This window comes from Homo sapiens, chromosome 10, assembly GCF_000001405.40.
Source record: "Homo sapiens chromosome 10, GRCh38.p14 Primary Assembly".
NCBI lineage: Eukaryota > Metazoa > Chordata > Mammalia > Primates > Hominidae > Homo > Homo sapiens.
The window spans coordinates 128766528-128790432 of NC_000010.11; the positions used below are offsets into that span (position 1 = coordinate 128766528).

Consider the following 23905-nt stretch of genomic DNA (forward strand, 5'->3'; position numbering starts at 1 on the left):
GAGGGTCTGCCATGGGCTGTGCATGGAGCAGGACACCGCTGGCCCCTTCCTCCACTCTGGCTGCTCACCTGAGCAGGCCCAAACCTCCTGGGCAATCAAGCAGAACATTTTGTCTGCATCCCTCTGAATTCACAATTATAACATGTTTTCCCTCTACTGCCTACCTTGGATGCATTTTCCTTCTTTCAGAAAATAGGTTCTTCTTTGTATTAATGACACCCATCCAAGGGATACCCATTCGGGTGACACTGTGAATATCAGACTAGTCACTGCATTCAAAAAAGGCACACCCTCTTTGGAGAAAGCAGTTTTGTAGGAGATATCCACAGTCAAGCTTGCCATAGGGAAGTCAATGAGGGGGCCTTCCTGGGTCAGGAAAAGCTCTGCATTGGAAGTGACCCTTGAGTTTCTGGGAAGGTTCTGTGTCTTGTGCTAACGCAATGCTAAGTCTTGCATTGAAAGTAAATTATCCTACATAAGGGCATGAAAATGTGTGAAAAGAGTGGGGAAGACAGGTCTACAGTGATTGCTAAAGGGTCATAGATCTATGTACACCCCCATCAGCAGGACCAGCTGAGTCATTTGCAAAGTCCAGTACAAAATGAGAATGTGACCCCTTCTTAAAAATTATTAAGAACTTCAAGCCAGTGACAGCAAAGCATAAATGAAATGTGCAGCTTTTCTTAGCATGGGACCCAGTGAAACTTCACATGCCACATGCCTGTGAAGCCAGCCTTGCCCATCAGTCAAAAACGAGGGTCAAGCTTCATACCCATCTGTCTGGTCATTAAGCCCTTCACCCTGCATAGCGGCAGGCCAAGCAACAGGGGAGTGCTCTGTTTAATGTGGTTCATTTCTCAGCTGAATCCTACAGCCTAAACCTTTCTTCAAGAGATCACTGCCTGTTTATGTGGACATATTCTAACCAAATTCCTTTCTATTAATGAACCTTTGGGTCCCCTGGTCTTCATTAACCACTAAAAGTATTTTTCATACTCTTAAGATATATAATTGTGAGAGAAAATCAATTTAAAAAAGTATAATATCTATTCAGGTGCAAAAAACCCTAAACAAAAGAAAAAGTAAAACCAAGAGTAATTTTAAAAAACTCAGAATAAGCCCTCAACAACACAGTTTAAAGAGACAAGCTTCCAAATGAGACCAGGGAGGCAGGAGCATCTCATCTTCAATGTCAGCTATCGATAGGTGTTAATTAACCTGAAAGAGTAGGAGAACTTTTTAGCAATGGCCATCATGAGCTGTGTAATGATCGACATAGAATCGAATGCAAAGCACATCCAGAAAAGGTATTTTAGTGTGAGCTTTTTGAGACATTTAGTGCAAATTATAATATTAAAATACCGAGCATCTTATTCATCCTACTGGCAAAAGTGTATGATTTATGCAAGGGTGGAAATGTTTGGAAACTGACCTGAATGTACTTTATTTGGCAACTTTTAGTGTGCAAATGAGAATAAGAGAAATCTTTCTAGAAAAAGCCAGTGCTGTTTCAGTTAAGTCACAGAAAACGAGCTCAAGAGAAAAATCCACATTATCCCGAATTACCTCACTTTTTGGTGAAATAGTCAGTTAAAGTGAACATCTATCTATAGAGTACAAAGCAGAAAGGTGGAAGAAGAGCTCTCAGTTCTGCTGCTTCTTTGAGGGGAGGGAAGCTGGCATCAGCCACCCTCTGCCAAGGGCGTCTCTGAACTGGGCTTCTTGGTGAGACACAATCAGACTTGGTGCCCACTTCCTGTTTCCAGAACCAGGAGCAGAAGTACCCCAGAGGACTCTGGGAGTCTACAGAGCCTTTTGGATGTTTCCACAACAAGTTATGGTTAGTACTATTTTATATTGAGTACATGTAATTTTGTTTTGCATTTCTAGAAAGTGATAATGCATAGTACTACCGGTGGGTAAACAACTCATTCTAGATTCCTCAGGGCAGCTTTGATTTCAGCATCATCCCTGTTGATCTCTTAAGTCCCTTCATACTTGGTGGGCTGCGTATTTTTGTTTGATTATTATTATTATTGAAAATATGGTCTTTCTAAGGTGCAGAATAATTCTAATTGAATCAGAAGCTTTAGTTGAGTAGAACGTCCTTTTTCCCTTTAAAAGTGTTAGGATGGGAGTGGACTACTGTTGTCTAGCTCAGTCCCTTGAGGTTTCTTAGCTATGCCTTGGGTTTTGTTATTCGGTGCTGTCCTTTACTGAGATACAGGAGGCTCCAGGGAGGGCTGGGCACATTCTGCTGACCACCCAGCCATCACTAAATGTTCTACTGGCAAGAGGGAACTTCCTTCTAACGGGTTAATGAGACTTTGCCCGTGTTGCCTGTCATGGCAATAGCCCTACTGGGGCTGTTTCCAGCTTCCATCTCAAGTGACTTCTTATTCACATTATATTGAATTAATATGCACATTATACCAATGAACATTTTATATTTCTTCAATTAAAATTCCCAACCCAAATATACTGCTTTAATCGCTGGGAACACCAGTGTTATGTCAACACCTCTGTCTAGCACAGGGTTAGACTGTTTCTCTCTCATGCATTATGGCCACACCTCTTCACACATCTGTCCAGAGTGAGAACTCACCGTGCGACTGCAAGAGACACCAGACAGCAAAGTCCTTATTCCTCAGAGAAAGAGGCAAGTTACCACCCTCAGGTTTTGTGGGCTTTCAGCATGTATTGTGGCTACTATCTGTCTGCTGGTTGTCTTCAGAGAAAAAAAAATTAAGAAACAAAAATTCCCTGTAGCCAAGAATAGGAAAATGGGGCCATTTCCTGGTGCAGCCCTGATAGGGGACGGCTTGGGGATGGTGTGGGGATCGCTCGCCAAACACAGTCCAGCTGACACGGTGCAGCAGCACATGACTTTTCTCTCCTCCCCAAACACACCATCTCTTTGACAGACAACTGACTTCCCATTCGCTGCCCGGGAAGCCCAGCTGCTCCCCTCTGCCTGAGGAGCTCTTCCTCCATGCTCCAAGGCCACAGGTGGCAAGCCACTTACCTGTGTTCCGCAAACACGTGTTGATCATCTGCGCTGTTCCAGCTCTGTTCTAAATGTCAGTGGGAAGGGGAGGGATGACAAAGTCACTACCTCTGCCCTTGAAGAGCACAAGGTGATTTTGATCTATTTAAATATGGTATAAATGGCCCATGTGGATGGGCTTTGCCTGTGGGAATAAGCAAAGTTCAATTGAATGAATGAAGAAATGAACCAAAAACAAAACAAAACAAAACAAAAAAAGAAAGAAATCAGACCACCAGACTCCATCCAGTATTTTACACTGCAGGTTGACAGATATGCATGTAATCAATTTAATCAACAGAGTGAAAGCCAGAAAGTCCAAAGACATCAACAATGGTGAGAAATGTTGTATATCCTTCCACGAAACACACCCAAACCCACACAGACACTCTATGTCCATATCCTACATGCTTTCTGCTCTTTTCCGTACATAATTTAAACAGTTTCTCATATCTTATATTTCCCGTAGAATATTAAAAGTCGATATAATGCAAAATCCTACTCTCCCACCACATATGTGAAGTAGAAAATAAACATTCATAGCCCAGTGAGGCAGAGTTACACTTTGAAAAGTGAATTTGTGCTGCTGAAGAGTGTGGGTCTGACAGCCCGTGGGGAGCACGGCCCATAGTGCAGGGTCTCACAGCAAGCTGGGGCTGCTGCGGAAAGGCCAGGGCCTCTGGGCTCTGCAGCTGAGTCCCCCTCAAGTCTGTTGATTTGGGACACCCTGCCCCACCACCTCCCCAAAAGTCAAGTATAATAAATGTACTCTGGCCTCATAAATCTCCAAATTCACTCACAACTTCCTCTGTTTTCTCTCCTATGGACCCACTGGGACACAGTGAGCTTTAATAGAACTCTTAGTAGAGATGAATGCTGAGATGTTTCTCTGCCCTTGGAAATTGAGATCAGCTGCCTAGGAGATACTTTCACCCAATGATAAGAACCCCATACCCACCTATAAACAGCCACTCAAACAACCCCATCCTGGGCCTGCCCATTACACAGCAGAGACAGTGGAGAGCTGGCCTTTCTCGGTAAATGGGTCACCTACAAAGTCAGGCCAGAGTAAGCCAGGACATGGCCCCCCTGACTCTTGGGCAGCAGCTGAGCCTCTAGGTTTGCACAGCTTGGATGCAGGCTTGATGACTGCAAAAAGCAGTAGGAAAAACAAATTGGGGGCACAGCAGTCATCCTTGGCTCAGCTCAGTGGCTCAGCAGAGGCTCAGGCTAGAAGAAGATTGTGGATGAATGACTCAGTCAAAAGCAAAGAACCAGACAAAGGAAAACTAGAAAGTGACGACTAAGAACTGGTGAGGTCCAGAAAGAGGTGTGATGGGGGCCATGACAAGGTCAGAGGTCACAGCCAGGATTGGTTCCAGAAAATGGCTATGCCAACAGGGCCTGGGACACGGTTAATGTTGCATTTTAACCCTGGGGTCACATGTACATGGCATTGTTGAGTTTTGTTCTGTAACAGGTACCATGCTGGGCCCTGACAATACCGAGCTGGATAAGACTCCACTTCTGAGCTCTCTCCTAGCTGGGCAAGCTGTTATGGAGATAGATCACTATAACCCAGTTGAATGATTGGTGCGTCTGAGCTGTGTTCCCTGCTATACCACCAGTGCCTGACCAGAACTCATGCAGGGCAGGCATTCAAGACATCTTCATGAACAAAGTAATGAATGAGCAAGTGAATGAAAGAATAATACAAGTAGGTAACAGAGAAGTCAGAAGTAGATAGAGAAACAGTATAGAAGGAAGTGACTAAATTACATGGCCTTAAAGGGTCTATATATTCCAAAATGCATTGTATTTTATCTATTTCTTAGCAAATTATAAACAATTACCATAAAATTAAATGCATTACAAATATTTTTTTCTGTTATCTGTGATGGAGTGAAAGGAAAGTTCATTAGTACTTACCAAAATGATGCAGCCATACTTACAATAGTCGGATTATCTGAAAGGTCTGAAATACAAAAGTTACTGATTTGGCCAGGAACTCAGGAAGGTTGAAAGGAGAATGGAATCGATCAAAATATCTGGAAGCCTGTTCTGGAGGAGTGGTGGGAAGGGGGCATGGAGCTGGCTATGAGGAGGTGTCTAACATGATAAGTTAGATAAGGCTGCTTGGTGTGTGTGTGTGTGTGTGTGTGTGTGTGTGTGTGTGTGTGTGTGTGCATATGCAGATGCAAATATCAGGTAAACCAAGAAAGGCTCGCTGAGTGAACCTTCTAGGTTTCAGATTATTCTATGGCTGTATGTGGATTTCTGAGATCCCTGACTTGAACTGTAATGCTTTCCACATAGTGGGAGGTAACAACATTGGAAGCAATAGAATAACTTGGGCCAGGGGTCAACCTCTAGTGATTCAGCTCCCTCCTCCATAAAATTGGCTGCTCACATCCAGCCTGGTGCAGGAGAGTACTAGAGTACTGATATGGTTTGGCTCTGTGTCCCCACTCAAATCTCATCTTGTAGCTCCCATAATTTCCACATATTTTGGGAGGGATTCAGTGGGAGATGATTGAATTATGGGGGCAGGTCTTTCCTGTGCTGTCCTTGTGATAGTGAATGGGTCTCATGAGATCTGATGGTTTTAAAAGTGGGAGTTGGCCTACACAAGCTCTCTGTTTGCCTGCTGCCATCCATGTAAGACATGACTTCCTCCTCTTTGACTTCCACCATGATTTGAGGCTTCCTCAGCCATGTGGTACTATAAGTTCATTAAACTTCTTCTTTTGTTTTTGGTAAATTGCCCAGTCTTGGGTATGTCTTTATCAGCAGCATGAAAATGGACTAATATAATAAATTGATACTGAGAGTGGGGTGCTGCCGAAAAGATATCTGAAAATGTGGAATCGACTTTGCAACTGGGTAACAGGAAGAGGTTGGAACAGTTTGAAGGGCTCAGAAGAAGACAAGAAAATGTGGGAAAGTTTAGAACTTCCTAGAGACTTGTCAAATGGCTGTGACCAAAATGCTGATAATGATATGGACAATGAAATCCAGGCTAAGGTGGTCTCAGATGGAGATGAGGAACTTGTTGGGAACTGGAGCAAAGGTGACTTTTGTCATGTTTTAGCAAAGAGATTGGTGGCATTTTGCCCCTGCCCTAGAGATTTGTAGAACTTTGAACTTGAGAGAGATGATTTAGGGTGTCTGACGAAAGAAATTTCTAAGCAGCAAAGCATTCAAGAGGTGACTTGGGTGCTGTTAAATGCATTCAGTTTTAAAAGGGAAACAGAGCATGAAAGTACAGAAAATTTGGAGCCTGACAATGTGCTAGAAAAGAAAATCCCATTTTCTGAGGAGAAATTCAAGCCAGCTGCAGAAATTTGCATAAGTAATGAGGAGCTGAATGTTAATCCCCAAGACAATGGGGAAAATGTCTCCAGGGCATGTCAGAGGTCTTCACAGCAGCCCCTCTCATCACGGGCCTGGAGGCCTAGGAGGAAAAAGTGGTTTTGTGGGCCAGGCCCAGGGTCCCTGTGCCGTGTGCAGCCTAGGAACATGTTGCCCTGTGTCCCAGCTGCTCTAGCCATGGCTGAATGGAGCCAACATAGAGCTTGGGTCATGGCTTCAGAGGGTGCAAGCAAGCCTCAAGCCTCGGCAGCTTCCGCGTACTGTTGACCCTGCCAGTGCACAAAAGTCAAGAATTGGAGTTTGGAAACCTCCACCTAGATATCAGAGGATGTATGGAAATGCCTCTATGTCCAGGCAGAAGTTTACTGCAGCTAACTTGCTTTTGATTTTACAGGCTCATAGGCAGAATGGATTTGCCTTGTCTTAGATGAGACTCTGGACTGTGGACTTTTGAGTTAATGCCGAAATGAGTTGAGACTTTTGGGACTGTTGGGAAGGTATGATTGGTTTCAAAATGTAAAGATATGAGATTCGGGAGGGGCCAAGCATGGAATGATATGGTTTGGCTCTGTGTTCCCATACAAATCTTATCTTGTAGCTCCCATAGTTCTCACGTGTTGTGGGAGGGATCCAGTGGAGGATGATTGAATTATGGGGGCGAGTCTTTCCCATGCCATTCTTGTGATAGTGAATGGGTCTCATGAGAGCTGACGGTTTTTAAAATGGGAATTTCCCTGCACAACCTCTCTGTTTGCCTGCTGCCATCCATGTAAGACATGACTTCTTCCTCCTTGCCTTCCACCATGATTGTGAGGCTTCCCCAGCCATGTGGAACTGTAAGTCTCTTAAACCTCTTTCTTTTGTAAGTTGCCCAGTCTTGGGTATGTCTTTATCAGCAGTGTGAAAACAAACTAATACAAATACTTAAGGGAAAGTGCTTTGAAGTTGAAAGTTTGGCAAAATAAAATTTCATCATCATAAAGAATAAAGAAATACCCATCAGTAATGAAAGATTGAAACCTTAAAGTAAAGATTAAAATACATGGGAAAAGATTGAACCAAATAGTAACAAATGGAACACTACAATGTGAAAACAGTCAGGGTAGGCTGAACAAGGCCAGCATTACTGAATCCTCGTTGGCCTAGGATTCCTCCAGGACCAGGTGCTGCTCACCTTCTCCATCCCATCATGACAGACACACTCAGCCGAACCACACCTTCCAGTATATACTGACTGCACGAACGTGATCACGGGACCATATTTTTTTTCTCACCTGTTTTATAGATGCTGTTTGCCTCCCCATATAAATGTTGAGAACATGTAAAATGTTATCTTCTCCAGAATCTCCCAACAACACCCAAGTTGGTTCTGGGCTTATACAGTAAGTGCTAGTAAACACTGGCCAATCCCATCCCAAGGTCAAAGACACCAGAGGTGTGCAGGGCATAGCAACATGGTGACCACACACTGCTGGACAGTGTCTTCAATTCCAAACACCCTCTAGGTGTATCAAAATAGGCTCTGTTACATACAGCATTTCATTGATGTTAAATGCCCCTAAGAGCACCCCATATTTTAACATTTCTCAAATAAGGATGGCACTTGAAATGAATGTGTACGTTTCATGTGAGATTATATGTTTTTCCTACCCATTGAAAGCTGTTTGAAAAGAATGATCTCTTAAAATCAGGCGAATATCACAATCGATATTTGATAAATAAAGAGATCTTTAGGTTCTCTGAGAGATGCACCTGAAAAATAACAGGGCTGAGCCACCCTAAGAATCTCCGCACCCCCACGCCTGAGTATCTGCTGTTCCCTCCACTGCAATACCAGTGCACCAACTTGTCCACTTGGCAAATCCACAATTATTTTTCCAGTTTCCAATTGCCATCTTTATGGTGAAGCCTTCCCTCCTGATAACTTCAACTGAAAAAAATCTATATTCTGCTTCCACAACTAGGGTAACCAACTATCCTTTTTTCTCCAAGACAAGAATCTATAACTGGACAACTAGTAATAACACTCTATGTTTCCTTTTCTTGGAGCTGTGACCAGTTAACAACTCCTTCATGAACTGTCTATGTGCAGCTCTGAGTCATTCATAAATATTAAATCACTGGATTCTCCTAACAACACTTCCAGAAAGTTTCTATGATTACCTCCATGTTACAGGTAAGAAAACTGAGACAGAGAGGTTTGAGTAACTTGTCCAAAGTTACGCAACCACCTTGGGCAAGTTAATAGACTTGAGATTAGAAGCAGGCAGGGTCCTTTCCATGGCCTTTCTCATGTCCATCCTTCCCATGGCCTGCTGGGGTCTGCTTGCAGCTGAATCTACCAGGTTCTCTACTTCTCTGTTGTCTTCTGCATTCTCCACCTCCTGGCCCCAGTCCAGGAAGGCATATGTCATGGGGGAAGGAATATATCATAGCCAAGGCCTTCTTTCTTCCCCACTCAACAGTCGCTTCTGTGCTGTCTTTAAGTTCTAATGTCATGCAAATTGCAGATCCTTGTATTTTAAGCAGTGTTTGATTGCTTGATTCTTTGGGGTTTATGATATTAAGCAAGGCTTGGTTATATTTGGATATAAACTCCCTTTTTATGAAGGAGTACAGACTAGGAAACCCTCCATATCACAGGGTCGGTGCTCCCAGGACTCTCCTGTCAACGCTACACCCTGATTCAGGGCACAGCCTGGAGCTCTCCAAGCCGAGTCAGATCCCCAACCCCCACTGCCGTTTTGATTTTATGTTTACTTGTTTTTTTTAACCGCCCCCCCTCCCACCTTATTACAGTTCAGGGAACTCATTAATCTCTTCACCTAATATCTGAACCGGGCTTTTTGGGATGCAAATGCTCTTCAGCGACGGAAATAGCAAAGGCTGTTCAATTTGTGCGCTGATGTGCCAGCTAACATAGGTGTGTGATGCAATGCAGCGTCCAGTATGCTTGTTGGAAATGCGTCACGTTGGTGAAGGTCACTGAGGCTGGCATTCTGTGTGCTCTCAGTACAGAGAGGCCAATGCCAGGAAGATGCTCAACAACAAAAGATAAACTTCCCTTTAGGCAAGTAGATGAAGTCCTAGGATTCGTGGAAGGAGACGAACTCTGGCAAGTATTCCAAGGGATTTTTCAAATAAAGCCCGTGTTGAAAAGTCACTGGTTCCTTTTTCTTATTTGCATCAAGAGGGAGCCCAAATAGAGACTTGTGCTTCCCGGTGATGTCTCGTGAAATAATGCAAGTGAGAAGATGCAACTGTGTGGCAAATTTATCAAAATAATTGCTACCGACAGATGATTTGACAGGCTCTGTACAGACTTTCCAAACAATCAAGCCCACGGTGGTCCACTTTGGAATGCTTTTGCCTTCTGTCTTCTGGAGGGTCCCCTCTGATTATATTTTTTCATCCTAAAAGTTTCCTCTTGGGAAGCAGGCTGTCTCAGCCAATCAAGGATGGTTAACAACCATAGTAGAAGCTGCCTACAGGTTGACAGGCAAACCGGTCAAATATCTTGGTGTAATCACTCAGGTAATTTGGTGTCATAGCTTTAATAATTTCTAGGAATGTCTTCATGCAAGGCTTTGGGAGTTACTTGCATTTTTTTTTATAAAATGTAAAATAAAATAGGACAATTTTAAAAATCAATTATGCCATAAAAAGTGGTCTCATCTAATGGTTTTTGTGCTTTGATTTTAATCAAATAATTTAAGAGGATTAAAAATGACAACATTAATAGCTAGTTGGTTTCTATTTGTTCTAGAAACAGACACTAATTTTTTGTGTCAGTTTACCTTACTGCTACCCGGTGCTCAACTCTTGCGTCAGGCAAAGCCAGCACTTCCGAGCCTGCAGTTCCCGACGTTGTGTGAAGGAGGGGCTGAAGAGAACAAAGGTGCAGATAAGGAGAGGGAGGCTGAGGGGATATTAATTAGCTCTTCTGTACTACACCGTATTTTAATTAATCTGACAGATTTTTCAAAAATGGAATTGACTTTTCACCATTCTTTTTCCGTGTGAGCACTTTTCCTTGTCACTGAGCAGGTCAATTGTACTCAGGCTTTTAGCTGTTCCCTTTATTGATCTCATGCCCTACCACAATGTCTAGCGTGATCAGCACACAGCAGAGCAGGGACAATGTTCCCAGACACTGCTCTCTTGCCAGAAGCTTCTACCAGAAGCTAGTCACTTACAAATTGTCATCCTGAGCCAAGCCCCTCACATGGTAATCTAACCCACCTAAAAATCTTCCAGGAAAATGCCTCTTAAACACGTGGCTTAAGATAAAGAGAGATACTCCTCAAAAAATTAAAAATACAATGAATATATGACCCAGTAATCCCTCTTCTGGGTATCTAATCCAGTAGAAACAAAATACATTCCTTGTAGAGATATTTAGGTTTTCATGTTCATGTCAGCATTATTCACAATAGTCAAGATGTAGAAACAACGTAAGTGTCCGTTGACAGATGAATGGAAAAAGAAAATGTGAATGTATATATACACACATACACACACATGATGAAATATTATTCAACCTGTGAAAGGAGATCCTGCCATTTGTGACAATATTAATGAACCTGGAGGACATTATGCTAAGTGACATAAGCCAGACACAGGAAGATAAATACTGCATGATCTCATTTTATATGTGGAATGTAAAAAAAAAATAGTCAAATACATAGAAACAGAGAGTGGAATAGTGGTTACAGTAGACAGATAAGGGAAATAGAAGTAGGTCAGAGGGTACAAACTCACAGTTATAGAAGAGAAAAAAGTTTAGAGATGTAATGGAGAGCATGAGGACTGTAGCCAACAATATGTATTGTATACTATAAACTTGCTGAGTGTAAAATTTAGCTATAATAAATACATATTGTATACTATAAATTTGCTGAGAGTAAATTTTACCACACAAACACACACACACACGTAACTCTGTGAAGAGACGGATATGTTAATTTGCTTGACTACAAAAACTACTTCACTTTGTCTATGTATATGAAAACATCGTATTGTATACATTAAATAGAGTGAATTTAAAAAAAGATAACCTTAGAATTTTTGACCTTTTTAGAGCCTCCAAATTAGGACATCCTCTTACCTTAACTGAGATTTCCATATTACCCAGAGACAAAAAGCTTCCTTTCAATTCCTATCAAATCTCTGACTACTTCCACAATTATTAACATTAACAAGAAGGATTGGGGGGTCCAGGCATTGAGGACAGCTGAAGACTACTAAAAGGTGCTGCTGGATTTCTGGAAAACCTACCATCTAACAGTGCAGCAAATACATGCTCAAAACAGGCTTGGCCTTCCAGCAGTGAGCCTTTGACTCAAAGGCCCTAAAAACCTTCCATAAGACAGACTCTCGGCCGGGCGCAGTGGCTTATGCCTGTAATCGCAGCACTTTGGGAGGCCGAGGTGGGCAGATCACCTGAGGTCAGGAGTTCTAGACCAGCTTGGCCAACGTGTTGGAACTCCATCTCTACTAAAAACACAAAAATTAGCCGGGTGTGGTGGCGGGTGCCTGTAATCCCAGCTACTCAGGAGGCTGAGGCAGAAGACTCACTTGAACCCAGGAGGGGAAGGTTGTACTGAGGCCAGATCTTGCCACTGCACTCCAGCCTGGGCAACAAGAGTGAAACACCATCTCAAAAAAATAAAAACAATAAAAAAGACAGAGTTTCCTCCTCCTCTCCTTCTAGGCTGCTCCAGGTCAGAAGCCATGTCCCCGTGAGAGATTTGGCCCGGAAGGAATTAGATTTGCTCAACTCCCCGGGCCTCTTACACTGGCCTGAATCTGAGCTCATTAGGCGCTTGGGTCCCAGCCACCCTCATACCCACTCTACATGAGTAGCAAGACCCTCAAGCTGTGAGATTTTTGCTGCTTTACTGAGTTTCTACCTTGAAGGCAGGTTTGGGAGCCTTAACTTTAAGAAGGATCTATATTGCAGTCGGTAGGTGTCTGATATCACTGGACGGGCCTCTGCTCTGTTCTTCCAACATGAATAAATGGCTCATCATGGAGCCCATTCCATTCCCGGTGTAAACCAAGAGCAGACGTCTGGTGCCCTTGCTCAAGCGAAGCACTGGCAACCACCACTTTACCTTATTTAGATTCTGGGAAGTAAGGAGATCAGAGTCAGAATGCAAAGCCCACAGCACACTGCCTTTCCCACCCACCCCCGGCGGTTCCAGCATGCATGGGAAACCCCTGAGCACATTCCTAACAGCCGGTCCCTTCCACGTTGCCCCACAGCCAGTGCCTCTTGTCCTCTGGTTCCAGTTACTCATGGTACTCCTCCAACCCCATGAGGCCTGGCTCGTGTATTAATAACTATTGTAGAAAAGTGTCCAAGTCTCTTACCTTCTCTGGTTTCTGTTTTAGAGATGATACAAGGAAATATAACACTCTGGATCACTTCATCTTACCCAAAGCAAGAACATCTTAAAGGATTTAGATACTGAGAAAAAAAAATATGCATGATAGATACTTTCAGGAACGTGCACAATAGACTTGGAAGCCTCCGAGGATTCCGCCTGAGGACACGGCCCCATGAGCCGGCTCACGCTCAGAAGGATGGCTGCCTCCACAAGGCTGCCAATTTGAGCACCGGCCAAACTGCAACCAGACCCCAGGAAAGGTAAAATAGATTGAAATGTATTGCGCGGTACTCAGATTCACTCCTCTGTCTGCGAGATTATTCTTCTTAAACACACACCCACACAGCGAGCATCTGCCCACGGCCCCGTGGCGTGCTGGAGCTGACATGTATCGGCTCATGGGAGCCAGTTGTTAAATTTTCAGGAATTTTTTGAATCTTTGTTAAACACAGCCATTGTTAAATACTAAATTATATACATTTAACATTAAGTAAATTATATTTTATGAAAGGTAATAGGTGCCCCAAATGAATAACTTTCTAATTATTTCATGACCTTTTCCAGCAAACTGTCCTCTTGAGGTTACTTATGCCAGTGTTATCTATATGGTAAAAATACCGTATATTGGAGGGCCACCTAGTAGGAATATTTACACCTCAGAAACTGGCAACCACTATCAGTCAGGGCTTTCCGCCTTGGAGAACTGGTTGTTAAACACTTCCTAGCACAGTTCCATGCCCTCTGCTCTCAGCTCTACAATAGCTCGTAATAAGTCCAATTGGGGAAGTGCTCAGAATGCATTTCTTCATTCATATTCCCCATGAACTCTCCTGCCAGTGAACAGCCATTCACTCCAGTGTGTGGAAAGCAGGAATCTCATCTTTTTCCTTTAAATCTGTTCAGCCATGTAGAGAATTATCCCATGTAATAGACTTTATCTCCATACTGCAATTATTAATATTGGGCAGAGGTCATGTGCTTCTTGGCAAGGCTCATGTTCCCAAGTATAAATCATGATAAAATAGGTTAGCTCTGGAAGGCGGAGTGATGTTTTCGATTTGGCCAGTGTAGAAATAGAGTTGGATTTAAACAAGGGCTTTAAAAAAAATTGAAGTCCAGCAGTACAGACATGATTGAAATAACCTGGATACGTTATGAACTTCGCAGCCAGTGGAAATCAGCCCGGGGACAAACTGAAGCCACCGTGCCAGAGCAGGTCCTCGCTTGCAGCCTGGAATCACAGCGAGTCTGTGCTGCGCACCTTTTTATGGCCAATTATGGGGATGCTTCATTCTGCTCAGTAGAGGGGAGCTTGCACTCCCCTCATCAAATCTATGAGCAGGAGCCAACACACCCTGTGCAGGTCTCTGAGAAAGAGGCACACACATCATCTTTGCAATAAAGCTTTCCAGTTTCTCTGATTAATATTAAAAAGAAGTATAATAACATGACCCGAAGAATAGACATAATCCTCTCATTCGGAGGGTTGGCACCACAGTACCATACCATGCACTCCAGGCTCAGGCAAATGTGTCAGGGTCCCTGCAGACCTTAGCTCCCACCCTCATGCCCCCACCTCTCTCCCAGTGCTCTCTCCTCAGGGTCAGTGGCAACTCACATCTCCACATCTCCATCTTGACAGCTTAGGGCTCCAAAAACAACAGAAAATAAGAAATAAAAAGTCAGACGATGCCTGTCTTCTTAGTCCCCCTGGGAGTGACTTCACAGGGCAGATGTTTCCTGCAGAATCTGCAGCCCGATCTGGTTAGGGCCTGTGCACCCTCTCAATGTTTCCTATTGTCATGTAGCTTTATCTCCTCATCTCAGTTTTTCTTCATTTATTACTCTTAAATGAATATTTATTAAGGATTTATGATATACCAGAAATAAGGCGTAATATGCAGAAAAGCACGTTGAGGAAACTCTATGAAATGCGATATTAGTGAAGGCGTTCCTTGGGGAAATGGTGTGCAGTTTATCAGGGTGTCTTGTGAACGTTGCATGAAAATTTCCTCAATAAAAGGGAGATTCTACCTGATGTTAATTTGGAGCATATATCCATATGCACGTACAAGTGTTTATATATTTAAGATGGGGAGGAATCACATGGTTCAGCACAGTCTTCTCCACAGTCCCAGGGCTGCAATCTTGCTAGTGCCCCACCTAGGCAAGAGTTTATTATGGTGTTAAGTCACTCTTGTAATGTCTCCCTAGCTCGGTATTTCATTTTGCTCAAATTTTCCATTTTTATCCATATTTAGTTCTGGGCTGACCAACACAAGACTCTTATGCAGTTTTCTTCTTACAACTTTTCAATAGACTATGGCAGTGTTTGATATCAATCTGTGCATGCATTGTTTGTGACTCTAACAGTCCAGATGGCAGGGCCCATCTCTTAGATATTGTTAAAACTGTTGAATACAGGGTGTGACACATTCTAGCCCTTCCAGGAGCCCTTCCTTGTCATGGCCACCCATTCACAGCAGGCCTGGTCATGTGACCTCTTTTGGCCAATGAGTGTGAGCAGAAGCTACACTGGCCAATCCCAAGCAGTAGCTATCACACCCAGGAGACTGCCATGATTTCTTTTTTTTCCTTCTGCCAGGAGACCGGGAGCCTCCCAGACGCGGGCTGCTCTGTCAGTTGGGGGCCTGTAGCAAAGAGAATCTGGAGAATGCCACAGCACATCTGTGATGAACACAAAAGATGATTGTCACTGTAAACCACTGGTAATTCAAGATCTTCATATTTTTAGTTTGTAGTGTAAATTAGTCTATCCTGAATGGGCTAATATGCTAAAACTTTTTGTTTGGAGTTTTAGGCAAGCCCATAGGGAATTAACATTTTTATTCTATCCCAGGGCTTTTATCTCATGCCCATTTGCTGCTAAGGTGAAGGATAATTCCTGATATCCGTAATATATATATATTTTGAGACAGGATCTGGCTCTGTCACCCAGGCTGGGGTGCGGTGGCATGATCTCGGCTCATTGCAACCTCTGCCTCCCAGGCTCAAGCAGTCCTCCCACCTGAGCCTCTCGAGTAACTGGGACTACAGGTATGCACCACCATGCCTGGCTAATTTTTGTATTTTTAGTAGAGATGGAGTTTTGTCATGTTTCCCGAACTCCTGAGCTCAAGGGATCCACCTGCCACGGCCTCCCAAAGTGCTGGGATTACAGGCGTGAGGCACCGCACACGGCCTCTACAAAAAAATTTTTAAGAATTAGCTGGGCACGATGGCATGCATCTGTGGTCCCAGCTACTCAGAAGGCTGAGGTATCTGTAATATTAACTCTTTTCCAGTGGCTTCAGATATACGTGAAGTGGACACAGTAGAGCTTCTATCACAATATTAGTTGATAAATATATGACTATTAGTTTTCTAAAAAGTGGGCAAAAACCTAGCACCTTAGTAAAAATCACCTTAGTAAATAACGGTAACTAATATGAAATAAGGCATGAAACAATAAACACGTTCCTTCTAGGTGCTGAAATTATATCTGCATCCACCCAAGCTAATCAGATTCCATTTTATTTGGAAACTAAAGTCTCATAAAGAACTTTGTTTTATTCAAATAACCATGAAAACCATACAAGCTGTTCTAAGTATGTTGCTCTTATTTTTGTGAGCATTCCTTTTGACTTGACATTGACCTCTCCACCTAAGAAGTTTGAAGACAAACCCCTGGTGCTTTATACCTTTAATGATACATCCCCTGATTTTATCTGCAACTCCTTGAACAAAAATCTCTAGGCTATTTCTTATTTCTCACATACTTTTCCTTCCTTCTTTTCTTTTCTTTTTTTTTTTTTTTTTTTTTGAGATGGAGTCTCACGCTGTCTCCAGGCTGGAGTGCCATGGCGCAATCTTGGCTCCCTGCAACCTCTGCCTCCTGGGTTCAAGCAATTCTCCTGCCTCAGCCTCCTGAGTAGCTGGGACTACAGGTGCGTGCCACCATACCTGGCTAATTTTTGTATTTTCAGTAGAGACGGGGTATCACCATGTTGGTCAGGCTTGTCTTAAACTACCAAACTCGTGATCTGACTGCCTCTGCCTCCCAAAGTGCTGGGATTACAGGCGTGAGCCACCATACCCGGCCCTTATTTTTTAATAGTCAGGTTTTTTAATGAAGTCATTAAAGTCAGATTATACAGAATCAGAGGGAGTCAAAAGTCAGTTTCCTTTTACTGTGTCTCCCAAATCCACTTGCCTTTTCAAAGATAATTGCTGAAAACATTATTTGGTGGGTATCATTTATATCCTTTTATGTCAAAATATGTGAGTGAATATTTTACACATGCAAGTTTGTTCTTTTTTTTTAAATTTTTTCATTATACTTTAAGTTCTGGGATACATGTGCAGAATGTGCAGGCTTGTTACATAGGTATGCACGTGCCATGGTGGTTTGCTGCACCCATCAACCCATTATCTACATTAGGTATTTCTCCTAATGCTATTCCTCCCCTACCCCCCTGATCCCCCGAAAGGCCCTGGTGTGTGATGATCCCCTCCCTGAGTCCATTTGTAGTCATTGTTCAAATTCCACTTATGAGTGAGAACATGTGGTGTTTGGTTTTCTGTTCTTGTGTTAGTTTGCTGAGAACAATGGTTTCCAGCTTCATCCATGTCCCTGCAAAAGACATGAACTCATCCTTTTTTATGTCTGCATAGTATTTTATGGTGTATATGTGCCACATTTTCTTTATCCAGTCTATCATTGATGGGCATTTGGGTTGGTTTCAAGTCTTTGCTATTGTGAACAGTGCTGCAGTAAACATACGTGTGCATGTGTCTTTATAGTAGAATGATTTATAATACTTTGGCTATATACCCAGTAATAGGATTGCTGGGTCAAATGGTATTTCTGGTTTGAGATCCTTGAGGAATCGCCACACCGTCTTCCACAATGGTTGAACTAATTTACACTCCCACCAACAGTGTAAAAGCAAAAGCGTTCCTATTTCTCCACATCCTCTCCAGCATCTGTTGTCTCCTGACTTTTTAATGATCACCATTCTAACTGGCGTGAGATGGTATCTCATTGTGGTTTTGAAAGGTGAAAGAGATATTGATGAGTGGGGAAAAAGTATTCAGTGTGACAATAAGAAGACTAATAAAAAACTTGCACATTTCTCTGCAAATTTGTTCTCATTAGTCTTCTTATTGTCATGCAGAATACTTTTCACCCTTCATCAATATCTCTTTCACCTTTTTCAATGCTATTTACTTTTAATATTATTTTTTCACAGTTTTAATAAGGTAGAATTGACAAATAAATAATTGTATATATTTACAGTATATGACGTCATGTTTTGATGCATGCATACATTGTAAAATGATTACATGGAGCTCATTCACTCATCTATTACCTCTCCTGTTTATTTTCTTTTTCGTGGTGAGAATATTTAAGATCTAATCTCTTAGCAATTTTCAAGTCTCAAATATATTATTAACTATTGTCATCATGCTGTACAACAGATCTCCAAAATTTTTTCATTCTAACTGAAACTTTGTACCTTTTAACTGACATCTCTCCACCCTCCACCTCTCCAGTCCTTGGCAACCACCATTCTACTCTGTTTCCGTGAGTTTGGAAATTTTAAATTCCACCTACAATTAAGATTATGTAGTGTTTGTCTTTCTGTGACTGGCTTATTTCCCTTAGCATAATGTACTCCAGGTTAACCCATGTTGTCACAAATCACAAGACTTCCTTCTTATGTATAGTATCATATCCCATTGTGATTCATATCCCACTGTGTACGTATCCACTTATCCATTTATCCATCATTGGACACCTAGGTTGATTCCACATCTTGACTATTGTGAAACATGCTGCAATGAATGTGACAGTGGAGATATCTCCTTGACAGATTGTTTTCATTTCCTTTGGATATATATGCAGAAACAGGACTTCTAGATCATAGGGTAGTTCTATTTTTAATGTTTTGTGGAACCTCCACCCTGTTTTCCATAATGGCTGTACTAATTCACATTTCCACCAACAGTGTTCAGGGGTTCCCTTTTCTTCATATCTTCACCAATGCTTATTTTTTGTCTTTTTGGTAATGGCCATTCTAACAGATATGAGATGATATTGCATTGTGGTTTTAATTTGCATTTTCCTGATGATAAATCAAGTTGAGCACTTTTTCATAAACGGTACCTGTTTGCCGTGTATGTGTCTCTCTTTAAGAAATGTCTATTCAAGCCCTTTTCCCCATTTTTTAACAGAGTTATTACTTGGTTTTTGAGATGTTTGGGTTCGTTAGAAATTTTGGATATTAGACTTTTCTCAGATACGTGGGTTTGCAAATATTTTCTCAGGTTCCTAGCATTAGTATTTTTGCTCCCCCATATAGTATTTTATAGGATGGTTGTACCATACTATATTTAATTACTTTACAATAGATGAGAATTCAAGCTGGTTCCAGTTTTTAGCTATTGCAAACAATGCTGCCATACTGAGTACTTTCAGTGGTATGTAACTGTGTTAGTATTTCTATAGGATAGTTTCTAGAAGCAGCTTGCTGTTAAGGATGTGCACGCTGTAAATGTTGATAGTTGCCGCTATAAGCTCTTCAAAAATGTTCCAGCAAAACACATCCAGCAAACCACAGTGAATGTGTATGAACGTGCCTCCTGTTTCCTGCCATTGTTGTCACTCATGATTACATTAATCTGTACTAGCAAAATATAGCCTCTCTTCATTACTGTATTTTGAACACACTCCCTAGTATTGGGTTGAGACTATGTTCACATGTCTATGAGTATTTGTGTTTCCCCCAACCCCCCTTGAAAATACTACTGCTTTAATTTCCTTTCATTTTTTTTCTTTTCTTCTCATATCTTTTCCTTTATTTTTGATGCTTCTTGCCAAATTTTTTACAATCTATTTTTCAGCCTTTTAATCTTTCAATTTTTTTGTATCATGTTACTTGGTGTGTATTTCTTATACATAGCACATAGCTATTTTTTTCTTTTTATCTAGTCTCCTCTTCTAATGTACAAAATAAATGCATGCACATGTACTGGGCTAATTGATATGTTTCATTTTCTTACTGTTTTTTATCTTTCATACTTTACCTAGTTGGCTTAAATTTTTTTCTTACTTATTTGCTTTAGGGTTTTGTAATTTATATGTACTATTTCTCTTCTCTAGTCTTACTTTTAAATATGTTTTATGTAAATGCTAAATATTTGCAACTATAATTTACCCTTTCCCCAAAAATAAGGCAAACATTTTGCACACTTGTCATCTTTCTCCCTATATCCCAACTTTAAATGAAAATATCCTTTTTTCTTACAAACTTACACTTATTCTACTTTTTTCTCTCTCTTTTTTTTTGGCGATGGATTCTTGCTCTTGTCACCCAGGCTGGAGTGCAATGGTATGATCTCAGCTCACTGCAACCTCTACCTCCCCGGTTCCCTGGTTCAAGTAATACTCCTGCCTCAGCCTCCTGAGAAGCTGGGATTACAAGCACCTGCCACTACGCCCAGCTAAATTTTGTATTTTTAGTAGATACAGGGTTTCACCATGTTGGCCAGGCTGGTCTCGAACTTGTGACCTTGTGATCTCCCCACCTAGGCCCCCCAAAATGCTGGGATTACAGGTGTGAGCCACTGTGCCCGGCCTTATTCTACTTTTATAGTAATCAGTTATTAATAAATGCAACAAATTTAAGTGAGGAAATAAAACCTTTAGACAAACATTTTATTCAAACATATTGATTTTTAAATGATAATTATGGGTGCTGTCCTCCCCATAGCAATTCTGCTGCCTCTAGGACCCAAAGGAAGTCAAGTTGATTGCATGTGGTGAACTGTTTTTCTCGGTTAAATTATACTAACTGCCCTACACCAAACGTCCCAGTGCTGGTTGGTGGGAAGTGATATAGTAAAAAACACACAGTGATTAACCACAAAGATCAGATGGATTCAGGACAGAAGCTGTATTCTACCTTTACTCTTTCTGATTTCACCATTGCTGAGCTTGGGTTGCTGACAATGTCTTTCAGCAAAGTGGGTTGAGTTCTCAGATAATGTTTATTTTATCAACATGGTTTTTGTTGCTGTCATTAAGAATGGACTGGAATTTCCCAGTGGTAAAACAGCAAACCTGGGAGAGGAAAAGAGCCCGTTTCGCAGGTGCAGGTGTTTGTTGCAAGCTCTGTAGAGATCTCGCCTTGTGCTGGCACCGTAATCGAACTGTTGGAAAGAGGGTGCAGCAGACTCACACTCCAGGGTCCCCAGCACAGCAGGAGGCTGTTGGCATTGACATCACTCTCCAGCATGGCCAGAGGGCTGCAATTTGGTGGGGCCAGCCCAGGTCCCTTGGAAGACGCTTTATCAAAGCATTTAACTAGAAGAATTAAAATTCAGTTTTATTACCAAATAGAAAACGAAACAGAGGAAGGAGGACAGAAATAAAGCCAAAGCATATTAGTGATGATAACAACTGTGACTGACTCCAACTTTTCTATTAAAAGATTTGCATATCAGTACACATAACTTATACAAAGTTGGGCCTTGCTTATTTTATACACATACATTAAACCAAATCATAGAAACATTTTTAAAGAGTCAGACAGTCAAATACTAACCAAAAGAAAAGCTAATGTGGCACTATCAAAAGTTGAGAAAGTAGGATTCAAGGCAGGAATATTTAAACAGGACAAAGAAGCATATATTTTATGTTGATGATAATTAAAATAGCCTGAGAAGGAATAGCAGTCATTGTCGCATATACAGTGAGCAATGTAAATCAAATTGTATCAAGGAAAATAATTATGAGTAAAATATGAATTAATGAAACCATGGTCATAGAGGGAAGATTTAATTTACTTTCTCCAGCATTGGAAAATCAAATAGACAAAAAATGTGAGCCTGTAGAGGATATAATTAACAAAATTAATAAGTTCAATCACATACAAACACCTATACATGGGCACATATAGAGCTAGAGTTAGTGCGTTATAACTAGTATGTGTGTGTACGTGTATGAGCATATATAAGCATGTATGTGCACTATTATAACTATTATGTGTGTGTACATGTATGAGCACATATAAGCATGTTTGTGCTTGTACATGACACACACATTTGTAGGCAGCAAATAAAGATTTTACCTTTAATCAAATATCCACTAAAATAAAAGCAAATCCTTTACTTCTGGGTGTGAAGATCCGATATGATACAGGTGTCAAATTTCAATCCCAATGAAAATCCCAATAGAATTTCATTAAACTTGAAAACAGTCATTCTAAAAATTATCTGGAAGACAAAATTATACAGAACAATGCCAGGATATTCACTCTTTCAATTTCATTTCAAGATTGTCTTGGAGGTTCTTGCCCATGCAGTCGGAGGAACAGCCAAAGAAAAGCTGAAAGATTAATTAGAAAGGAAGAAAGAACACTGTCATTTTTTAAAAAGATAAAATAAACAAAATCACAAATAAACAATTGTGTATATCAATAGCCCAAATGGATTTTCAGATTAATTAATGAATTAAGAAGTAACTTTAAAACTTCTCTAGGGACAGAAGTTAATAAACCTAAATCCTCCTTTATATAGTCATATACAACAAAAAATGAATATGTAAAGGTATCATTTTCAATATTATTAAAAATATCAGATACATAGAAATAAATATTGCACATACTATGGGCAAGACATCTACATAGGAAACTGTAAAACCAATTAAGTTAAAGATGATGTAAGTAATGAAGACATAAACCATGCATGTGAATTGGATGATACAATAGCATAAAAATGTTAACTCCCCTAAGCTGATCAGTGCCTTTTGAGTGGGAATACAGCAGATCTAAAGAGGATCTAATTACAAAACTGATTTAAACATTCAAATAAAAATCCAAAGTGCCAAGAACAGCTCTGGTCACCTTAAAAGAAAAGAACAAGTAGGAAGAATTGCTTTATAAGAAATTAAAGCTTATTATAAGGTTATATTAATTAAGACAGTGTGTATTACCAAAGGGATGTTCAAAGAGACCAACAGTACTGAATTTAATGGTGTGAAAACAACATATACATATATGGCAATTGATTTAGGACAAAGGTGGAATTGTAAAACAATGGGGAAAAGGATAGACTTTCAAAAATAATGCTGGGAAAATTGGATACCCATATGGAAAAAGATATTGGGTTACCTTATATGCAAAACTCTAGTCCAAGAGATTATATACTTAAGTGTAAAAGGCAAAAGAATACCCTGTTTAGAAGACATTGTAGACAAACATCTTCATGACTTAAAGGTAGAAAAATATTTCTTAAAAAGGACACACAAATTAGCCATAAAGGAATTGGCTGACACATTTGAATACCTTAAAAATAAGAGCATCTTTTTATCCATAGACACCATCAGGTATATGAACGAACAAGCCACAAAACAGAAGAAGGAAGACGTTTTCAATTCACATACCAACAAAAAGCACAAACCCGGAGTATGTAAAGAATCTCTAGAAAACAACATGAAAAGGGTAGACAACTCAGTTTAAAATGGGCAAAAGACATGAACAAACACTTCACAAATGTGAATCCAAATGGCCAATAGGTGTATAAAAAGTGCTCAAGTCATCAGAGAAATGTAAATTCAAGCCTCAAGAAATGCTATCATACTCACTTGAAAGGCTAAAATGAAAAAGATAATCAATATCAAGCAGTGGTGAAAATGGAGTTCAATGGAAATATTTATACCCTGCTGGTGGGAGTGTAAATGTGCCTGATATACTGCAAACATGTGGCATTACCGTCAATATTAAACATGCGCATACAGTTGAAGCTGGCACCATACACTCTGAAGCATGGTGCATAGAGACTCACGTGCCCTGGAAGACATATACAGGAATCCACAGAAGCATTATTCAGAAGAGTCCTAAACAGGAAGCAATCCAAGTTTGCAGCAACAGCATAACAGATACATATATTGTAGGATATTAATGTCAGAGAATATAGCAATGAAAGTGATTTAAATTAAGTTATACGTAACAATGTAGATGAGTTTTCAAAACAAAATATTGAATGAAAGAGGCCAAATACAAAAGGATGTTGTTTTTTTTCTTTCTTTCTC

At 40.9% G+C, this 23905-nt stretch overlaps 1 long non-coding RNA gene across 1 annotated transcript in view; it reads left to right on the forward strand.

Annotated features, from left to right (window-relative positions):
* The first annotated feature begins 15426 nt into the window (after positions 1-15426).
* The window catches only part of LOC105378555 (uncharacterized), a 29689-nt gene continuing 21210 nt past the window's right edge, over positions 15427-23905 (forward strand). The window contains exon 1 of the long non-coding RNA XR_946460.3: positions 15427-15539. This is a non-coding gene — a long non-coding RNA (uncharacterized LOC105378555). The remainder of the gene's footprint in view (positions 15540-23905) is intronic.